Genomic DNA, 22,639 nt, shown 5'->3' with positions numbered 1-22,639 from the left:
TTCCAGGAAGGAGCTCACACTATGGCACTCCAGTGATTGGATGGCTGAGAAGCAACTGAGGTGCTGGGGAATACAAGCTCCACGGGCCGAGGGGAAGTTCACTGGGGCTCACTGCATGCAAGGGCTGTCTGGACAGCGATGTCTTGGGCTTGTGTTTAGAGAGCTGCTTGCAGAATCCCCAGTGTGGCCTAACCAGGATGCAGGGAAAAATAGGCAAGTATGTCCTTGGATGAAACCAAGCACAATCTATCAACCACTCAAGCAGATCCTAAGGGAAGAATTAGTGTCATTAACTATTATGCTGTTGTTGGTGATGATGATAATGATGCTGACAATTAAAAAGATAATTAATTGTTTTCCTTCTTTTAGTCACATAGAAAAAATCACCACATGGCAAGACCCTAGGAAGGCGATGAATCAGCCTCTGAATCATATGAACCTCCACCCTGCCGTCAGTTCCACACCAGTGCCTCAGAGGTCCATGGCAGTATCCCAGCCAAATCTCGGTAAGCCTCAAGCTTTTTTAAAATTAAAAAAGATATTTTTTTTTTGTAGAGTTGGGGTCTCCCTTTGTTGCCCAGGCTGGTGTTGAACTCGTGGGCTCAAACAATCCTAACACCTCAGTCTCCCAAAGTGCTGCGATAACAGGCATGAACCACTGTGCCTGGTGGAGCCCCAAGCTTTGACTCCAAGCTGAAGAAATGGTGTTCAATCAAGGGGTGGCGGGGCTCATAAGTGGTTCTGGCTGTTTCTATGTCTCTTCATGCACCCAGACGGTGTTTGCTCCTTCTTCTTGGCTGCAATACCGTGTTACCCTTCTGCCGGCTTTTTCTTCTTTACTTGGTCTCTTTACCACCAACTCATGATACTGCTGCCTCAGTTTTAAACTACAGTTCTGACCTTCCCTCCAATGGCCTTAATTGGGGTAGAAAAATCAGTTAGGCCTCCTGTCTTCATCTAGCCTGAGGCAAGTAGGACACATACACGCTTTGGGTGACTTTGGCTCCTGGCGACTGCCTACAGGTACAATTCTAGTCTCAAATCCCTATCCTTATTTCCCTTTTTTCCTTTTTTTTTCATAATTGCTGCATAACATGTGTCAGATAGCATGCCAAGTGCTTCCATGCCTTACCTTATGAAAGCCTTCCAAAACCCCTGCAAAAAGTAGCAGGCTCTCCAGTTTATACATGAAGAAACTTTCCGAAAGTCTTGCAGCTTGTGGAGAGCAGAGCTGGAGAGCAGGCTAGTCTGATTTTAGAAGGGAGTTAACCATTACATAACCTGCAGGTGGCTTCTCCCCATACCTGCCGTGGGATAATATGGCTCACTTTTTACTTCATTTACAATACTTAATAAGTGCGATTTTAGACTTGAGAAGAGAATATTTTCTGCTAAAATTATCCCCACTAGAGATAATCACCAGTGAATTAATACACTGCAGCAACGGAACCAGTCAGCTTTTTTGGTAATCATTCCCTTCCTTCTCCCCCAGGGCTAAAAATAAAAAAGGGCCAATTTTAAAGTTTTAGAAAAGTTGGTGCCATTTTCAGATAACATTTCCATTTAAGATCAGATATCCAGATATGCTTTATACACAGAACAGTTAATTTTAGGGAGTGAAAAGAATCTCCTGTTGGATTTTCAGGAATGAACAAGATAAAAATGGAAGCGTTATTCCTGGACACCCTTCCCTCATACTGTGGCTTAGCCAAAGTGAGTATGAACTCAAGTAGACCCTAGTCAGCTTCAAGTGTCAGTTCTTCCAGGAAGTCTGAACCTACTGCTTTAAAGCTTGCAGATGTACAGTTTCCAAAAAGCAAATGACATGGAACAACCTCTGTGGAGTTCCTTATCTAAAGGGCAGATCAAAGAAAATGCAACCAGTTCTGGTACCAGCAGTGGTAAACCAAAGCCTCCAGTGAGTTATTTTGTCCCAAATATACAGGAGCTCGTGTAGAAATCAGATGCCACTGTAGTAAAGAGACCCCAAATTAGGTGGCATTAGACTGGTTTTTACAGTTTGTTTAACCATTTAATTTTCATCGAAAATTCTAAAAACTGATTATTAAAGTTTTAACTTTAACTTTGTAATCAATTATAATCGGAAAAAAATCTTTCATGAACCCAGTTTACAAAAAAAAAAAAAAAAAAAAAAGAAAAGAAAAAAAAATTCAAACACTTCCTCCAATCTCCCTTTCCTCAGTCCCCAAGTTTGTTTCCTGGAGCCAACCAGTGTTTCTAGTTGTGTGTGTGTGTATGTTTAATCATACTAAGGTTAGCATATCATAACCACTGTTCTGTATCTTGCTTTTTTCACCTGCCTGTCCATACATATAGAGCTGCTTCATTCTTTTAAAAATTTGCCTATTAGTCTACTATATTAATATGCTATAATTAGTTTATTTAACTAACTCCTATCTGGTAGATATTTAGGTTGTTACTAGTGTGTTGCTAGCATACAAATACTGGAGTGGATATCCTTTGTCATGTTCTTTTATGCATTCTCCTTAATTTTTAAAATTTGTGCGATATGTAGGAAGTGGACTAATTAAAAGAAGCTTGAATGCTTGGAACTAGATATTGAAGGCACATGTGAGTCTGCCTGTATGTGCATACATGCATGCATATGCACACACACACACAAAGTCCAATTGCACTAGTAAAGTATATCTAAAGAAGTTGTAATCTGAACATTCTGAAACAAATTTACCTGTAGCTCAGTAAAATACCTTAGTTTCCAGATTTCTATTTTTATTTAATTTTTGTTATTATTATTATTATTATTATTATTATTATTATTTTGAGAAAGAGGCTCACCCTGTCATCCGGGCTGGAGTGCAGTGGCACGATCTCAGCTCACTGCAACCTCTGCCTCCTGGTTCAAGCAATTCTCATGCCTCAGCTTCCCCAGTAGCTGGGACTATGTGCATGTATCATCACGCCCAGCTAATTTTTGTATTTTTAGTAGAGACGGGATTTCACCATGTTGGCCAAGTTGGTCCCGAACTCCTGACCCCTGGCGATCCGCTTGCCTCAGCCTCCCAAAGCGCTGGGACTACAGGCGTGAGACCCGGCACCCAGCAGTTTCCAGATTTCTAATAAGGCAGTGAATTTCTCAAGACGCACATTCTGGGGTTTTTCCAACAATATTTGTGTATTTGCCCATTGCAAAGTGTGTTTCTAGCTTATGGAGAATCACAGATGTGTCTGAAGGATGGAAATACAACTTGGAATGCCAAGTAAGTTCCAAAGACCAGGACTTAATTTAGAGAGTCTCAATACAGTCAGAATAATAAATGATTTACTCAGACTATTTCATTTCAAGCCATAACTCTGCCTGTGGTTCATAGTCTTTATTATATATCTTTAAACATATAAAAATAAAAAGAGCAGAGCTGGGTGTAGAGGTGCATCCCTGTAGTCCCAGCTACTTGGAAGGCTCTGAGGTGGGAGGATCTCTTGGGCATAGGAGTTTGAGGCCAGCCTGGGCAACATAGTGAGACCCCCAACTCTTAAAAACTAGAAAAAGAAAAGAGCAGATTCTTCTCCTCCCACTCTTCCTTCTTCTTAAATCTAGAACTTTGGTACTTTTCAATGGAATGTAGCTGTCAAATAAGTGAACTAAAGTGATAGGTCTTCTTTAATGCAAGGCATTTATATACATGTGAAAAGGATGTCAAAATACAGTTAATAGCATTACTATCAGATGATAGAATAGTACCTTTTATAACTAATTTTATTTATTTCTAGAGCCGTGATATAATCAGTGGCATAGTTAACTACATTCAGAAACAAATCTTGTATTTGGTCCCTGTATGTTTCTGTAGGTTAGGTACATGGACTTGGGTGTCTGACTGCCAGAATTTGAATCCTGGCTCTGTAGTTACTAGTTTGGTGACCCTTAAGTTATTTGTCTGTGCTTTGATTTCATCATATGTACAATGGGGATTATTAATATATGAGGAACTTACGAGTTTATATATGCAAAGTGCTTAGAACTATGATTGCCACATAGTAAGCTAAAATATATGTTTATTATCATTATTTTTATGGCAAAAAATATTTTATATTTTATTTAACTATAGCATGTTATATTTTAAGACAATTTAACTGTTCTTTATAAGTGCTTTCTAGAATAAAAATGATTTATTTTGGGCTGGTTAGATTGCAAAGTGTTTTAAATTAGGAACAATGTATTCATTACCTTCAGTGAGGATAGTGCCCTCTGGTGGAAATGTTTAAGTTACCTCTCCCAGGAGAAACTTCTTATCACTAGACACCTTATTTTTTATAAGAGCTTTAGATGCCGGGCGCGGTGGCTCACACCTGTAATCCCAGCACTTTGGGAGACCGAGGTGGGAGGATCACGAGGTCAGGAGATCGAGACCGTGATGGCTAACACGGTGAAACCCCGTCTCTACTAAAAATGCAAAAAATTAGCTGGGTGTGGTGGCGGGCGCCTGTAGTCCCAGCTGCTCGGGAGGCTGAGGCAGGAGAATGGCGTGAACCCGGGAGGCGGAGCTTGCAGTGAGCCGAGATTGCGCCACTGCACTCCAGCCTGGGCGACAGAGCGAGACTCCGTCTCAACAACAAAAACAACAACAAAAAGAGCTTTAGATGTATTCCTGTAATGCGACTTGTAAATCAAACCATATTTTTATTGCAAGAGGAAAGACCCATTACTTAGTCATCCTGGAGTGAGTGACTTTGTAAAAACAGAGGATTCTTTCTGCAGGTTGGCAGATTTGTTGAACACTGAGTCTAAGTAAAATGAAATAAGCTCTGAAGGGGAAAATTGCAAAAATATGGTTTTTTTTTTTTTTTTTTTTTTTTTTTTTTTTTTTTTGCACTTTAATTCAAATAGCCATCTCCAGTTTCGTCTAGCTTAAAACTAAAATTTTAGTTTTTGTATTTGCCAAATCAGGCTTTACCAATTTGGATTCTGTCTGAGCAGAGTAATGGCCTTTAAGCCTGAATTCCCAGACATATGCAATAAATGGAAGAAGAAAAGACGACCTTGGGGGACTTTAGACTTGGCTCACTGCAACCTCCACCTCCCAGGTTCAAGCAATTATCCTGCCTCAGCCTCTGGAGTAGCTGGGATTACAGGCGCCCGCCACCACACCCAGCTAATTTTTGTATTTTTAGTAGAGATGGGGTTTCACCATGTTGGCCAGGGTGGTCTCGAACTCCTGACCTCAGGCAATCCGCCCATCTCAGCCTCCCAAAGTGCTGGGATTACAGGCGTGAGCCACTGCACCCAGCCAGAAGTTTGTATGTTTTAAGTAGGTTGTGGGCCTTCCTTACTATTAATACTTACTAAAATTTTAAAAAAGAGAATAAGAGGGAAACAAAAGAGGGAAAAAAATAGACTGCCTACACAGGCTCTGTTATAATGTATAAAACAATGGGCTTGAGAAAATGAAGCCTGCTGCAGATCTTAGTCCTTGGTTAGAGTGGTGGCGAAGTGGGCATGGAAGTGGGATGGAGGGTGGGGACTGTTTTGGAAGAACTTGAAGTCAGAACTGAGTTTCTCTTAATTTAGACGTTTATGTATTGGGTTATTTAACCTCTGAGTCTCATTTTCCTTATCTGTAAAATGGTGATAATGATAGTACCTATCTGATAACGTTGTTTTGAGTATTTAGGTAGTCCATGTCTTGGTACCTGATGTATAGTAAGCTGCCAGCACTTGTATTGTTATAGCTATTATTGTTAGCCAGTTGCCTCATTTTTCCTCCCCTTTCTGGCTCCTGTGTAATCAGAGGAAGATCCTTTGATATGCTCTGTTAGAAAGCCATTCCATTCCTCCTTCAGGAAGACCCAACCATGGTTACTGCAACTTATATTTGTTTGGGCACTTTTGCTTACAAATTGTGAAACTAGCTGGTGTGGTACCAAAAAATAACATTTAACCTCGGACAGCAATTGTGAGAAGATGAAGAGGAGCAAGCTTGTGACTGTCAGGTCATTCACAGAGGGAGTTTGTGAAGAGCAGTCACACTTCTGAGTTCTAAGTGAAGAACATTTTCCCCTCTGCAAGTAGTGAAGTGTTAGATTTTCCCATTCCTCAGCAGACAAATACTGAAAACATGCAACAACTTAAAGTAGCTCCATATTTTAAAATGTTTTTACCAAAAGAAAGTGTCATGCTTTTTTCCTTTCTTTTTTTTTTTGCCTTTTTGGTGATAATCCTAGTGATCATAAACCATGGTGTGCTGAGCTGCTGTCACACACTAATGAGGCTTTTTGTTGGAATGAGACCCTGACCTGAGATGCTAGTATCCTTCCTGACAGTACAGGAAAAAATAAAGACTATAACAACTTCACCAGCCTGCGAACCCTAGCCAATTCAGAAACTTTTGGTAAAGTGCAACTAGAGTGTATTTTCAATACTATAGGAAATTTTTAAAGTTACATATACACACATGCACACACACGCACTTACTTACCCCTTTGAAGATGTGCCATCCACCAGCCCAGAGTCTAAGTCCTCCAGGTCTGTGTCTCGAGCTGTACTTCAAATTATAAACACATGTGTGTTTTTTTTTTTTTTTCTTTTCAGGGCATACTTTTCAAGACAAGATGGAAAATCTTGTCTGTGCTCAGTTTGCTAAGTTGGCTTGCTGTTCTCTCTAGGAAGTATACAAAGAGGCTTAGCATTGTATCAAGAGCAAATAAAATAGCTAAGGGATATCGAAGCCCTGGGTTGCTTAAAGCACTTGGAAAGACATGCTGAAAGTTCACTAGAAGTCAGATTTCTACTTAGGCATCTTATGTTTTCCTTTTTTTCCATTAGTTTTTTTCTTAATCAAATTTACATGGTGAGTTCACGGCAGACACATCTGGCTACTGTGATTTTTCCAGCTCTGATGTTCTCACTGCTTTTGGAACTTTGTGGTTTATGCAGCATAGATTAGCCTAAAGTGCACCGGCACATACACGCACAAACCCAGAGACAAACAAACAAAAAAATACCCATACACTTTTTGGGAGATGGTGGAAGTGAAGTGTTGGGTGTTGTGGGTGTTGTAGGTGTTGTAGGATTGTTGTGGTGGAAAGTTTGTGTTTATGGAAGAAAAGGAACACTGGTGGGCACAGGACAGGGGGAAAGGTTTCTATTTAAAAATGATTTTCTTGATTAAAAAAAAGAAGGAAAAGTTTTCTAAACACTGTAGAAAATCAATTTTCTTTTTATTTTGTAGAGATTGGGGCGTCTCACCATGTTGCTTAGGCTGGTCTCGAACTCTTAGTCTCAAGTGATCCTCCCACCTTGGCCTCCCAAAATGCTGGGATTACAGGTGTGAGCCACTGTGCCCTCAATTTTCTTAGATTTTGAGGAAGCTATCTATTGTCAAATACACTCTAGTTAATCAGCATTATTGAAGGCTACCTTCTTTGGGGTTTCGAAGAGGAGATTCTTTTTTTTTTTTTTTTTTTTGAGACAGAGTTTCGCTCTTGTTGCTCAGGCTGGAGTGCAATGGCACAATCTCAGCTCACCGCAACCTCCACCTCCCCACAACCTCCACCTCCCGGGTTCAAGCAATTCTCCTGCCTCAGCCTCCCAAGTAGCTGGGATTACAGGCATGTGCCACCATGCCTGGCTAATTTTGTATTTTTAGTAGAGACGGGGTTTCTCTGTGTTGGTCAGGCTGGTCTCAAACTCCTGACCTCAGGTGATCCGCCCACCTCAGCCTCCCAAAGTGCTGGGATTACAGGCACGAGCACCCGGCCTGAAAAGGACATTCTTTATAGTTCCTTTCTTTTACGGTTTTTAAGGAATATGTGAAATGAGACTGAAAAAAATTACCAAATCAACGGATTGAGTTCCTTTTATGTAATAAAGCAGGACATAATAGCATATAAAAAATAAATCTTATGTTTTCATGGCTATGTTCCACTTATCTTAATGTGGATGAGTCTTTATTAAGATTAGGTGATGGAGACTTATAGGTTTTATTATATGAAATTTAGAAATTTAGGTAGAAAATTTCTTCTTTGATAAGAAATAATAAAAGCCATGAAAAATGTCTGATGCCACAATTTTCCTTAAAAAAAAAAAGTAGTATGCTAGGTGAATATTTTGGGAACCATACACAAAGATGTGTTAGTTATAATAGCCAGTAAATAAACAAATGCCTGAAATATGAAAATAAATAAATTTATTTATTTATTTATTTTCTGAGATGCAATCTTGGTCCGTTGCCCTGGCTGGAGCGCAGTGGTGTGATCTCGGCTCACTGCAACCTCTGCCTCCCAGGTTCAAGCCATCCTCCCAGCTCAGCCCCCGAGTATCTGGGATTATAGGTGCCCACCACCACACCCAGCCAATTTTTGTACTTTTTAGTAGAGGTAGGTTTTCACCACGTTGGCCAGGTGAGTCTCAAACACCTAACCTCAAGTGACCCACCTGCCTCAGCTTCCCAAAGTAAGTGCTGGGATTACAGGCTTGAGCCACTGCGCCTAGCCACAAATATATTTATAAGCAGTGAAATAATGGATATAGACCATGTAGACACATGGAAAACTTTGTTGTAACATTCTAATTTTACACAGCATGACAAATTGTTTATGCTATAATTATACTTCTATTTTTTTGAAAAACACATTGCTTAGATTCTTTCCATTTTTTCACAAGACTAAGCTTCTTGAGGACAGGAACTTGATCTCCATCTGTGTATTTCTAGCCCCAAGCAAAGCTCATTAGGCATCATAGGTGTACTCTTCTGTAGAATAAATGTGTTGAGTAAGTCAGTTATGTATTTTTAAATGTTAATAGTGATTATAGTTAAGCCTTTGAGTTAAGGGTGATTCCCTCTATTTTCTCTGTAATGCGGTTATATTACTTTTGTAATAGCCAAAAGGAGAAAAAAAAAAAAAAAGAGTGAGAACAACAGGGGAGAACCTTGAGCTTTTTGTGGTGGAAGAGGAGAACAGTGTGTTGGAAAAAAGGCTCCAGGCCCCATGTGTATTAAAGACAAAACCAAGAATGCTCAGGCCTCTGCAGTTGAGCAAGTCTGCCTGTGGCAAATAGATTATTCACTAGTCTCTAAGATCAGTGTTTATCCAAGCGTGGTCCAGATCTACCACTAGCTGGATCACTTGGGGGCATTTGTTAAACATACATTTTTAGAATACAGTGGTTTGTTTGCTCCCAAAAGAATTATCCTGGGCTGCTGCTAGGAGGAATATGCCCTGGAAATTTCTGTGTCAGTAAATGTAGGGTGGAATCTGGAAAGGTATGCTGTTTTCGAGTGCTCAGATGACTCTGATCATCAGCCAGGTGTGGGAGCCACAATCAAATTGTGTATGTTAAGGCCAAGTGCAGTGTCTCACACCTGTAATCCCAGCGCTTTGGGAGGCCAAGGCGGGCAGATCACCTGAGGTCAGGAGTTTGAGACCAGCCTGGCCAACATGGCGAAACCCCGTCTCCACCAAAAACACAAAAAAATTAGCCAGGTGTGGTGGCACACACCTGTAGTCCCAGCTACTTGGGAGGCTCAGGAAGGAGAATCGCTTGAACCCAGGAGGTGGAGGTTGCAGTGAGCCAAGATGGAGCTGCTGCACTGCAGCCTGGGTGACAGAGCCAGACTCCGCCTCAAAGCAAAGCAAAACAAAACAAAACAAAAAAAGAATTGTGTACGTTAGCACAGTGATGGGAAAATGCCAGTATAATAAAAATACAAGAACCTACTCAATCGTTCAGTCTTTAATTTATCTGAAAAGGACTTGGAGTATGCCCACCAACTTTTTAACTGATTCTTTGTCTGAAATAGACATTTACTAGGGCATTGACTTTTGTCATTTTGGTGCTTGGTGTTAGTGCGCACATGAGCATTGGGTAAGTGAATGCTGAAGCGGCTTCCCAGAGCATCTTGACCCCAAATATTCCAAGTAAACTTCAAAAATGAGGAGGAAAATTATAGCTTGGGATCCAGATTCTTGAAATGTATTGTTTAATCCACTGGGTAAATGTACAAGTCTGCTTCAGTTTTGCTTGCAGAGAGTGGGCCTGAGAATCCATCAGGCCTTCGTAAGCCTAAACCGTGACGAATTCCAGAGAAGCACCCCCACACCTGGGGAAGAGGGAGGCCTTTTAGGAAGGTGAAGGCTAGGTCAAACTTGTTTTCTTTTTTAGTCCTTTCTTTGTTTGCACCACATTAATTAATTAGTTAATTAATTAATTTGTAATGGAGTCTAATTTCTTCACCGAGCTGTAGACCTCTGTTGAGAGTTTTAAAAATAATTTTGACAATTTTCATCCTGTTTGCTGGCTGACTTCCAAAAGTTTGCCCTCAGGAGCTTCCTTGCTATGGAGAATTTCACCCAGTTAAGGGTGAAAGGCAGGCAGTGGGATTCGAGGTGGTTTGTCATTCAGCCACTTGTTCCAAATTGATAAGTGCTGAGTGATATTTTGACACTTCTCTTTGATCTCCTCTTTGGCGTCCCTGGTAATATTGCTCCCGCCTGTGTGTGATCATCACCTCTCCCACCCAGGTACCAACTGATTGATTTCTTCTTCCTTTCTGGAAGTCTAAATTTATTCCCTGGGTGTTTTGCAGTTGCTGGTGGTCAAGAACAGCTGTTCTTCCATGCTTTATTCTGAATAGTTCTCCAGGATGAAGTCAGCAAAACAATATCATTTAAGTGAAGCCTCAGGAAAACAAAAGCCTTGATTGTCTTTCTCCTTAAGTGCTAAAAAGAAGATCACCCCTCCCCCTTTGTGTGTGTGTGTGTGTGTGTGTGTGTGTGTGTGTGTGTGTGTGTGTCTGTATTTTAAGGCAGAAAAAAAAAAGGTTCTAAACATTTTTGAAGCAGCAAGATTCAAGAATGTTATTTTTTTCCATATTACATAATTGCTATTTGGTCACTGTAGAAAATGCTGATTGGCAAAACATGAGAAAATAAAAAGCCATGGTACCATTCAAAATGACACTAGTGTGTTTTCATATATTTTCTTGACTTTCTTCAATGCAAACATAAAAATAGTTGGAAACTCCTCTATATTCTTTTTTGTAGCTTGTTTTTAATATACCATGAGCATCTTCCCATTTCAGTAATTTTTTTTTTTTTTTGAGACAGAATCTCGTTCTGTCGCCCAGGCTGGAGTGCAGTGGCAAGACCTCGGCTCACTGCAACCTCTGCCTCCCAGGTTCAAGCCATTCTCCTGCTTCAGCCTCCTGAGTAGCTGGGACTACAGGCACACGCCACCATGCCCGGCTAATTTTTGTATTTTTAGTAGAGACAGGGTTTCACCATGTTGGCGAGGCCGGTCTTGAACTCCTGACCTCAGGTGATCCGCCCGCCTCGGCCCCCAAAGTGTTGGGATTACAGGTGTAAGCAACTGCGCCTGGCCAGTAAATATTTTTCTATAATATTTTTTGATGAGTTGTTTTAATTAGAAAAGTAACACACGCATATGGCAAAAAATCCAAATAGTTCCAAAGGGTATTTATGAAAAATTAGGTCTCCTTCCCACCATGACCCCCAGCCCTTTTCTCCTTTCCAGGGAAACACTACTACCAGCTTCCTGAGCATTATTCTAGACATGCTCTACATACACATGCATGCTTGGGCATATACAGTATGTCTTTTTAAAACTTAACATATCTTAGAGAGCCTTCCAAATTAGTACTTACTGATTTGTTCATTGTTTGTCAGCAATATGTAATGTTCCACTCCGTTGAGATACTGTACTTGGTTTAACCAGTCCTGTGTGCTGGATATTTAGTTTATTTTCTGGTTGGTCACTATTACTAAACAATGCCACAGTGTGCAGCCTTGGACATAAATCCTTGTGCCATATGCTGTTTATGTATAGGATAATTTTGCAGAAGTGGAATTCCTGGATCAAAGAGTATGTACATTTAAAGTTTTTAAAACTGTTGTTCCATTTCTTTCCAAAAAGGTATACCAATTGACACCCCTACCAATAAAGTGTGTTTTCTTCCCCGTACCCTGGCCAATAATATCTATGATTAAACTTATAGCCTTTACTATTCTGATAGCTACAAACTAGATTCTCAGTATGTTCTTTTTTTTTAACTTATGAATAGACTTGGACATACTTCTTTTGTTCATAAACCATCACATCATGTTAATGGCTGCACAGTAGTCCTTTTGTGAATTTATTTAACCAATAATGCCATAATTTATTTAACCAATTCTTCTATTGAGAGACATATAGGTTGATTCTATTTTTTATCATTATAAATGATGTTTCAATACATTTTCTTGCACACACATACATTTTTGTGCCCACCTTTAATTTCCTCACTTTTCCAGTTTCTTTGGAATGTTTCTGAATAAAATATAAACATTTCTTAAAAAATACAATTTTGACATGGTTTGCTTTTATCAAACTAAGGAATTGTCTAAAGATCCTGGAGCAGGGGATTTTTTGCGGGGGGGGGTGTTACTTTCTTTTAAAAAATAATGTAACATTACCACAAAAAGTGTATTTTTAACCAGCCACCTAGCTTTCCCACTAACTCTGTTTTTCAGCTTGTATATCCATATGTTTTTGACTAAGCCATAAATGGAAGTTTCGTTGGAAGTTATTTTGCTTCCCAGTACATGTCATGCATTTCATTCCATATTATTTTCGTCCTTTTCCTTTTCAGTATTATATTTCTCAGATACCAGTGAAGAGTGAGTTGTGAGTTTTGAATTTTGCCAAGACTTAAATATTTGCAGCGCTGGAAAGAAAGAAAGTTAAAAAAAAATTAATGTGGCTGATTTAGTCTTGGTTCACAAGGCCTTCATTTAGCTGCTTCAAAGCTCACACTTCAAATGTCAAGAAAAATATTCTCTTAATTTCTGCCGTATCAACTGCTGTAATGCCTGAATTAATTAGAATGGAACTATAATTTCTCTCCAAATGGAATTGGATCATCCCATCCTAACAAAACAAATGCTCAGGGCGGCTCCATGCTGGAGGTTTCTGGACACCTTCCCTATATCATTTCTGCCTGGGTCACTGCAGCCTAGGGCTGCCCCTTGGGAGACTTCTCTTCTGGGATCCTCAGCATGTCTTCTTTGCTTGTGCTTTCTCCTCTCCTCTGTGTCTCCTCTAGTTTTAAGTACACATTATATTTTTCCTGCAATTTGAGGGAATCTCAGTGTCGAAACTACGATATATTAAAATCAGATGGCTTTCGCCTGAGGCATTCCCTATTTCATATGTTTGCATTCACTGGTGCCTTCTCCATCCTCCACTCTTAGCTTGCTCATTTTTCCTCCTATCAAGAAGACCTAAATGGAGCAATGTCTCAGCTCTGACCCTGGGATGTAAGGACCTTTCACAACAGATCTCAAGCTTGACAGTCAACTCTCTTGGTGTCCCAGGTCCTTCCCAAGAAAACCTGCAATTTCCTATTCTGGGTGTCTGGTCCTCAGGGGCAGCTATCCAGTGGCGTTTCTTCTGAAAGACCTCCAACCGGTCTGTTGGGGTAGCTCTTTGTCCTGTCTTCCTAGGCTGTCTATGTTTTAAAATTAGAATCATTTAACAGTTGGGGTTGGGGATAGAGGTGGGAGGCTGGAAGGAACTATGAGTATGAGGTATCAGAATTATGTAGCACAGATTGCAGCTGGGATTCTGTTCCATCCAAATTCCAATCAGTTATCAAAAGCATTGTTTAATAGGAGTTTCCTCAAAGTTCAACAGTGCCACAGAACAATGGCCCATACATAACACAGTTTCTCTGGTCCCTGCCGGACTGAGAATTCTGTCTCCAGGAGGTTTGAGGTATGTGTAGAGAGGTTTTATTTTTTTAAATGTCACTATTTATTTTGAAAGAATTGTAAACTTACAGAAGAGTTTCAAGTTTAGTCTAAGGAATTCCCATATACCTTTTCCCCAGATCTGCCTTTGTTAATTGTTTGCTTATAAACATAGCCACGGTTGCATCTATCCATCTATCCATCTATCTATCTATCTACATATTTTTTTTTCTGAACCATTTGAGACAAAGTTGGAGACATCATTCTCCTTTACCCAGAAATACTTATATTTTCTCAAAAGACTTTTTCTTTTTTTCTTTTTTCTTTTCTTTTCTTTTTTTTTTTTTTTTTTTTGAGATGGAGTCTTGCTCTGTTGCCCAGGCTGGAGTGCAGTGGCATGATCTCGTCTCATTGAAACCTCCATCTCCTGGGTTCAAGCAATTCCCCTGCTGCAGCCTCCCAAGTAGCTGGGACTACAGGTGTGTGCCACTACGCCTGGCAAATTTTTGTATTTTTAGTAGAGATGGGGTTTCCCCATGTTGGCCAGGCTGGTCTGGAACTCCTAACCTCAGGTGATCTGCCTGCCTTGGCCTCCCAAAGTGCTGGGAATACAGGCGTGAGCCACCGTGCCCAGCTGGACATTTTCTTATATAAGCACAGTGTAGGTATCAAAATCAGGAAATTTAACATTGATACAATACTCTTATCTAATAGCCCAGATTCGAAATGTCTTCAGTTGTCCCGGTGATGTCCTTTGTGGCTATTTTTGTTTCTGGCCCAGGATGTGATTGAGGATCTCACATTGCATTTAGTTGTCCTGTTTCCATAATCTCTTCTAATTTGGAACAAGTCTTCGGTCCTTGTGTTCTGGACCTTGACATTTTTGAGGAATATATAGGCCAGTTATTTTGTGAATCATTTTTAAATTTGGATTTGTCCGGCATTTCTTCGTGATTTTGGTTTAGGTTATAAATTTTTGGCAGGAATACCATGGAAGTGATGTTGTGTTCTTCTCATTGAATCCTATCAGGAGGCACACGATTTGTTCCACTATAGGTGACATTAGCTTTGATCACTTGATGAAGGTAGTGTCTATGGAAGGTGGGGTGGGGGCAGCAGAGCATGCTTGTGCCAAATGGCTCCTCTAATGAATATGTTCTGTAAAGCTAATGAAATATGTGGAAAGGCTTTTTGGTCTACCAGGTCTCTATAAGGTATGGCCTAAAATCATGTAAACTCTTCCCCTCGGGATGACTAACAAGTAAAATTTCCAACCTGCTCAGTTAAGCTTCACAGAACATTATTTATTTGACACATAATATATCTGTGCAGCTATATACACACAGGTAGGTTTTTTTTTTAATTTATTTACAAAAGGTAGGCTATGTTTATTAGAGTCACAAGCAGTTGACTGTCTCAGTGTGACTCAAGACCACAAAAAACCCATTTCTCCTTCACTTCATTCTGAGTCCTAGACTGGCAGGTGTACTGCTTGGGGCCCATTCACAGGTTTACAAGTTTCTCATTGAGGGCAATCTGTGACTGACACACGAGTAGTTTTAAAATGAAATTATGATGCTTCCATTCATTTGTTCCCTACTCTTGCATCTTAAAAAACATATAATTCTTTTTTTTTTTTTTTTTTGAGATGGAGCCTTGCTCTGTCACCCAGGTTGGAGTGCAATGGCGTGATCTCCGCTCACTGCAACATCCACCTCCCTGGTCCAAGTGATTCTCGTGCCTCAGCCTCCCCAGTAGCAGAGACTACAGGCACACACCGCCACGCTTGTCTAATTTTTGTATTTTTAGTAGAGATGGGGTTTCACCATGTTGGCCAGGCTGGTCTTGAACTCCTGACCTCAGGTGATCCTCCCGCCTCAGCCTCCCAAAGTGTTGGGATTACAGGGGTGAGCCACTGTGCCTGGCCAAAACATGTAATTCAAAAGGATAAAAATAAATAATTGAATTAAGTTGGGGTAAAGGACTGTGGCTGAGAAAAAAAGCCAGGGAAAAAATGCATACCATGGGGCCTTGTGTGGTTGCTAGAGGTACCTACAGATTTGGCTGTGAGATTCCTGGGGGATCTTGTAAAGAAGATAATATGCTCTGTTATAGGAGTCAGATCACTCAAGAGATAAAGGCTTTCATGGTGTTGAAGAGAAATGTAGTTTTTCTAGACACAGAGATGTAAGAGGGAGTTCTCCTGTACTTCCCCGTAAGTCATCTAGACTCTGTGATCTAGGGGACAATGTCCTTAAAAAAGAAATTACAGTAGTGGCCTGGCACAGTGGCTCACGCCTGTAATCCCAGCACTTTGGGAGGCCCAGGCGGGCGGATCAGCTGAGGTCAGGCGTTCGAGATCAGCCTGGCCAATATGGTGAAATCCCATCTCTATTAAAAAATACAAAAATTAGCTGGGCGTGGTGGTGGGCGCCTGTAATCTCAACTACTTGGGAGGCTGAGGTAAGAGAATCGCTTGAATCAGGGAGGCGGAGGTTGCAGTGAGCTGAGACCGTGCCATTGCACTCCAGCCTGGGTGACAGAGTGAAACTCTGTCTCAAAAAAAAAAAAAAAAAAAAAAAAAAAGAAGATTCCAGTAGGGAACACTAGGAGTTTTATGGGGAAGTTTTCTATAGTCTTTTTAAATACTGGGTAGTGGCATGATCTCAGAGCACCAGCCAGTGTTCACAGAAGACCAAAATGAGTGTATACTACATATGCATTTTGATTCAAGGATAACATTTAGAAAATCCAGAACTGTAGTTTTTTTGTTGTATGTTTTGTTTTCATTTTTAAGAAGGAAGCTCCTTTTGACACACCTTCTCAAATAAAATTTAGAGCTACAGGCTTTTATTTTGTTTTGCTTGGGATCAGAATCTCCTCTTTGTAAGTGTTTAAAAGCAGAGCTGCTTTGGTTTCTGTCTGTTCCCCCATCCTTGCCCCAAACCTTATTCCTTTCCTTCCCAAAGATCCTGAACCACTTTACAGGGCTGAGAGACAACAAACCGAGAGGCATTGATCCCAAGGAGTGGCCTCTTTCCTTCATGGTTTGTTTGTTTGTTTGTTTTTGAGACGGCATCTCACTCTGTCTCCCAGGCTGGAGTGCAGTGGCGCGATCTCGGCTCACTGCAACCTCCACCTTCCGGGTTCAAGCAATTCTCCCGCCTCAGCTTCCCAAGTAGCTGGGACTACAGGCGCGTGCCACCATACCCAGCTAATTTTTGTAATTTTAGTAGAGACGGGGTTTCACTATGTTGGCAAGGCTGGTCTGGAACTCCTGACCTTGTGATCTGCCCACCTCGGCCTCCCAAAGTGCTGGGATTACAGGCATGAGCCCCTGCACCCGGCCTGCTTCACACTTTTTGACTCACTTCACTGTGTGCCCCCAGAGTCTCTGGATTTCTTCAGAATTTTAAATTTTACCATAGAGTGTGAAATAATCTGGCAGTTTCCCATGCAGTCCAGGCAGTCAGCTGGAAGGAGATTTCTATCAGTCTGGAATAGAGGCCAACCACAGTGCTCACCACAGGCAAGAGGCCTCAAGGGACCTGGTCCCGGCCCCTCACCCTCTGCTCCTCAGCCACATGGGCTGCTCTGATTTTGCACAAGTACTCCAAGCTCACAGTTTCCACCTTAGGATCTTTGTACTTGTCCCCCACCCTGATTTCCATACTTCATTCAGATTTAGAGCACACATCACTGCTTCACAGAGGCCTTTCTTAACTTCCCTGCCTAAAATAGCTCCACATTTCTTTGTTCAAATCCCTTATCACTAAAATTATTCTGTACATTTGTTATAGCCTGTCTTTTCGTTAGACGATAATCTCCTACAGGGCAGGGACCTTGCTGTCTTGTTCATCATTGTATCTCTACTTCCTAGAAACAGGGGAAATGAATAGCTAGGTGAACCGTAGATCATTGGAAAGAAAAAAAATCATCTATAGTTCTATAAGCGAAACACCACCACTGTTAATATTCTAATACTTTTTCATTTCAAAGGTAATTAACTTTTTGGGGGTCACTAGAAATCCTATAAGATATATGGGTACAGTCCTCAATGAAATGCATATTTATACAGGTTTCCAAAATTTGGCATATACTTCTACCAGATTTCCTAATCCTGTTACCCCTGGTTACATTCTTCTTTCGTTTTTTTTTTTTTTCCTGAGTGGTCCTGGCCCAATGCAAAGCACCTAAACCACACTATTGTTTTTGCTTATTTGATTGCTGAAAAAGGCTGTTTCTTTAATTTGCATTAGTGTGATTCCTTACGAAGCTGATAATTTGCCATATTTTATTACTAATTGCATGTTCTCTTTTATGAATCGTTCAAGTCTTTTGACTACCTCTTGGAATCTTAGTATCTGTTACATGATCTCCATAATAAAGATGTTTACTAAAAGGGCATGCTATTAAAAAACACATGCACACATTAAAAACTAGCAACTCACGCTGGCAACTTTTCTTCCATTCCGTGTGGAACACAGCTGTAGATTCGTTTTCTCTTAGCTTGGGCAACTGCCATACTTCGCACCTGGAGTAGTTTTAAAATGATTCAGGAAAGCTAACCAATAAAAAGCTACAATAAACTCTCTACTGACTAAAGAAAAATAAATGCATGAATCAGAGTTTCCATTTCCTGCTGGATAAAAGTATACCTATTGTCTGAAGATAACAAAACAGTTGTAGTTGTACTGCTATTGCCCAACCATGGAATTATATTCAAAATCACAAGGACAACTTTGTGAAGCAGCAAAGTGAATAACTAAATTTCCTCTTTTTCACAGGCTAGATAATTGTTTTTCTAAATTCACTAACTCCATAGAGGTGCTTCCTGCCACGGGCCACTTGTGATAAATCTTGAGATATCCCTGCAATCAAATGGAGTCAGAGTAGCACATTCTGATGCTGCTTTAGGTGGAAGAAAGAGTTCTTTCTTTACAGGAAAAAGGATCCAGAAGAAATCAGCCTGCCAGAAAGATGTGATTTTTTTTTTTCCCTAGACTTCCCTGGATATATTATAATGATGAGAACTAATGTCTGAATCCTTTAAATGCCAATAAAATATACATTTGGGGTAATGCAGTTATTATGAAAATATAAAAGCCAGTGTTACAGGCATTTCTATTTTACACCTGAAAAAGGAGAGTTGCCTAGATACTTGCACACTGGTGTGTGGACTACATTATTGTTTGGATGGGCAGGCAGGATAGCAAGTAGGAAAATCATTTCCTGGTGCTAAAAATTCAGGGTTTCCTGTGAAGTAAACGAAGCTTGGGTTACAAGTCTAAAACTAGACAGGCTTGGGGCATCTGGAGGACCGGAGGCCCATCTGGCAAGCTTTGGGGCACCTGGAAGTGGTTTTAAGGCTTGAAACAGTGAAGCTGGGAAAGTGTGGCTGAATCAACATATATTCCAGAGCTCTGTGCCTTATCAACTGAGCCGGCTGAGAAATTTCCTTGCAGTTATTCTCACCCAGAATTGGAATAAAGGGCTCAGTGTGAAGTTGGGATAGTACAACTTCTCGGTTTAATACTTTACAGATTTTTGGAACCAAATGCACCCTGAAGTGAAAAGCTGCTTTTTTTTTGCTGACCTTGTTGGATGGCTAATACTGTTTCTGGGAAATAAGAGAAACAAGCGGCTCATTGTTGGCAGGAGCTGAGAGAGACACAAGGAGGGCGAGAGACGCGTCTGCAGCCCTTTTTTTCCCTTCATTGTATCGTGACTGAGTCAAGGCTGGATTGTGGCTGGGTTTTTCTTCCTACCTCTGTAGACATATGTTTTCCATCAGACAGGGCTGCGTGACACCTGACGTTGGCCAGTTCACATGAGTTAAGCCATGGACGGCGCATAAACAGAGGAAAAGACCCGCAGCTGCACCCAGACACTCTTGATGCTGAAATATTTTTCAAAGCTTGATGTGGCTGGGTCTGCACATAAGTCAGAAACGATTTACACCTGTATGTTTTGGCTTGCTTCTTTCAGTTGCATATCATTATTCCCACAAAGCCTCTATGGCCAGAAGGTCTACCATTGGCTGATGGCAGCACCTCTCCTTCCCATATATAAGCCTTTCTAAATTATGAAATGTGAGTTTTCAAAGTTTATTTGATTTTTGTCTTTTTTTTTTGGAGGATTGAAGAACAAAATGCTCTACCATTTCTATAAAGTGAGGTCACACAAATGGTGTCATCAAAACATGCGATTCACGTTGATCCCATCATTTTAAAGTAAATAAGTTAATTAAAATAGTCTGTTAGACTTTTTCATGAAATAGGGAAAAGGAAACACTACTTGGCCTCATCACCAAATTTAACTTATCACGTATATTTTGATGACTACGAAAAAGGATTGGGCAGTGATTGGTGATCCGTTGGTGATCATTGGGCAGTAATTGGTGATCCATGCAGCTGATGCCAGCTGTAGTATTCTAGCAGGCGTTCCGGGTTTCCTAGGTTTGTCGCAGCCTGTTCCTGAGATCTGGGCTGAGGCATTTAATCTTCCAATATTCTTCATCTCTAAAATAACTGAATTAGTCTAAATCATTGGTTTTAAAGTCTGTCCCAAAGTCCCATGCTAGAATCTCAGGGGGATGTGAGCAGAAGCTAACCTTAGTGTTCAGTTTCCAAAAGCTGGGCCCTGTTCAATGTGTTTTAAACATTTGTTTAAAGTTTCAGCATGACACTTGAGAAATGCCTGAAGGGAAAGCAGAGTGAAAGCAAGACCAAGATGATTTAGAGAAGACAGTCAAAGGTGCTGACTTTAAGTGCTAATTTCCTCAGCTGATGAAAGAACCCTGGGACATAAGGATAGCCTCTGCTTCAAGCCGTACACTTGGCTCTGGAGAAGGATTCTACTACTAAAGAAAAGTTTGAGAACCATTGCTCTAAATGGACTAAGACCCTTCTATCCTGAATTTCTATGGTGATAGCACAAACTCGGGTAAATACATGGCCCTCACCTATAATGAGTGCTGTGGGGAAAGTGATGAGTTTGTAAATCATGTGTGAAACTCAGAATGAAATGGGGCTAAGCAGGCAACTATGCTCTGGAAGTAAGAGGAAGCAGCAACTAGAATGTGGTACCCTTTGGATATTCCCCTATGAAACTCTAGAGGTAAGGGTTAAAATGCATCCTCTAGAGAAGATGAGTTATGGGTGAGGCGTTGCCAGTTTTTTTCTCAGTTCTCATCTTGATTATGTTTCTATTTGAAATTTAAAAAGCCTATGATGATCATCTTGCTATAAATGGAACTGATATTTTGTTACCAATTTCTAACCTCCCTTAACCTTACTTTGGGGAGAATGTATTTAGTGCCTACTCTGTGCCTTAATCAGATTTGAAATGCACTAAAATTATTTTTGTTCCATTTTTGTAAGAAAGGAAGATCCATATCATTGTGATTGGTCCTGAGGGGTAGGGGGAGACTTTGCTCTTTCCCAGGTCTTGTTTATAAAGAGCACAAGTCCAGGAACATGAGAGTTAGTTCAAATCACAGGAAGAGAATAGTTCAATGTTTCTTAAAAGAGCTTTACTTCAGATGTATGGCTCAACCAGGAGTCCAACAGGAAAGGTTTTCCTGACTTTTGCATTTAACCAAGTGCATGTTTATGGGTGATATAATGCAGTCATAAAATAAATGTCATAAATAGTGCTTGATTTCCTTCAAAAATTACAGACAAAATGAGTATGTAATATTCCCATTCCAATTATCACATAATATGGATACAAAAGGACAACCACCAATTTTTAATCCAAGGAGGACACACTGACAGCTAATCTGGATAGCCTGACAGTTCTGAATAATGAAAGGTCATTTTGTACTGGCTCCTGGTTCTCTTTTTAAGGGAAGGCATTAGGGTGGAAATAGGAAATTTGAGTTCTGCTGCCCTGAGTTAGCCCTAGGTCTATGGATGGCCATAGGCCTGGAGTGAAAAACCATCCCATTTGCCTGGGACTTTCCCAGATTTAGCACTGTGACCTGTGTTCTGGGAAACCCCTCAGTCCCAGGCAAACCAGGATAATTGGTCACCCTCTGTGACAGAGAAGAAGAGAATGAGGTGATTGTAAAGCTTTGCATTCTAACTTTTGGAAGCTTTTATGCTCCCCTCTCATGTTGGGTTTAGGTTCCTGGAAAGTGTTTCTGATGAAGTTTATATGAACTTACTGGCCCAAATATCAAACTGAATTAAACACTTGTTCCAAGGAGGAAGTTTCCCAGATGCCATATCAAGTGTATTACCCAGTGTATGCCTTTGAATGTTGCATATTTACCTATTTTGAAGAGACTGCATTCAAGTTTTAAAAACAATGTCAGCCTCTACCTGTTCTACTCTTTTTTTTTTGGAGACGAAGTTTCACTCTTGCTGCCCAGGCTGGAGAGCAATGGCGTGGTCTTGGCTCACCGCAACCTCCTGCCTCCTGGGTTCAAACGATTCTCCTGCCGCAGACTCCCGAGTAGCTGGGATTAAAGGCATGCACCACTATGCCCAGCTAATTTTGTATTTTTAATAGAGATGGGGTTTCTCCATGTTGGTCAGGCTGGTCTCAAACTCCCGACCTCAGGTGATTTGCCCGCCTCAGCCTCCCAAAGTGCTGGGATTACTGCCTGAGCCACCGTGCCGGCTTTACCTGTTCTACTCTTAAAGGATGATGTTAGAAGTGTTATTTGGAATAGTTGATGTGGTTTTATTATAGAAGCAAGCTTTTTAAAGAAAAAAAAAAACTAAAAGATAGATAATTTGGAATATATGTAACTGAAGTTAATTTAGCAAGGCTTTGCTAACTACCTGTGAAAACTGATACGGAAGTTAAGCCATCTTTGAAATTTTCTTTTTAAATCATCACGTGCTTATGGAAAATGTCAGCAGATATTCAAGCAGTCTTTTATAACCCTTGCTTTTCCTGTATTTTG

At 40.6% G+C, this 22,639-nt stretch overlaps 1 protein-coding gene across 9 annotated transcripts in view; it reads left to right on the top strand.

Annotated features, from left to right (window-relative positions):
- The window catches only part of WWTR1 (WW domain containing transcription regulator 1), a 207,554-nt gene that overhangs the window by 151,419 nt on the left and 33,496 nt on the right, over positions 1-22,639 (top strand). For all 9 annotated transcript variants that reach the window (NM_001348362.2, XM_047447933.1, XM_047447931.1 and 6 more), the window contains one exon: positions 370-506. In NM_001348362.2, coding sequence (NP_001335291.1) covers positions 370-506 — 137 coding nt within the window. The remainder of the gene's footprint in view (positions 1-369; positions 507-22,639) is intronic.

Source organism: Homo sapiens, chromosome 3, assembly GCF_000001405.40.
Source record: "Homo sapiens chromosome 3, GRCh38.p14 Primary Assembly".
Classification (NCBI taxonomy): domain Eukaryota; kingdom Metazoa; phylum Chordata; class Mammalia; order Primates; family Hominidae; genus Homo; species Homo sapiens.
Note: the sequence above shows the minus strand (reverse complement) of the source record. Positions and strands in the feature narration are given on the sequence as shown.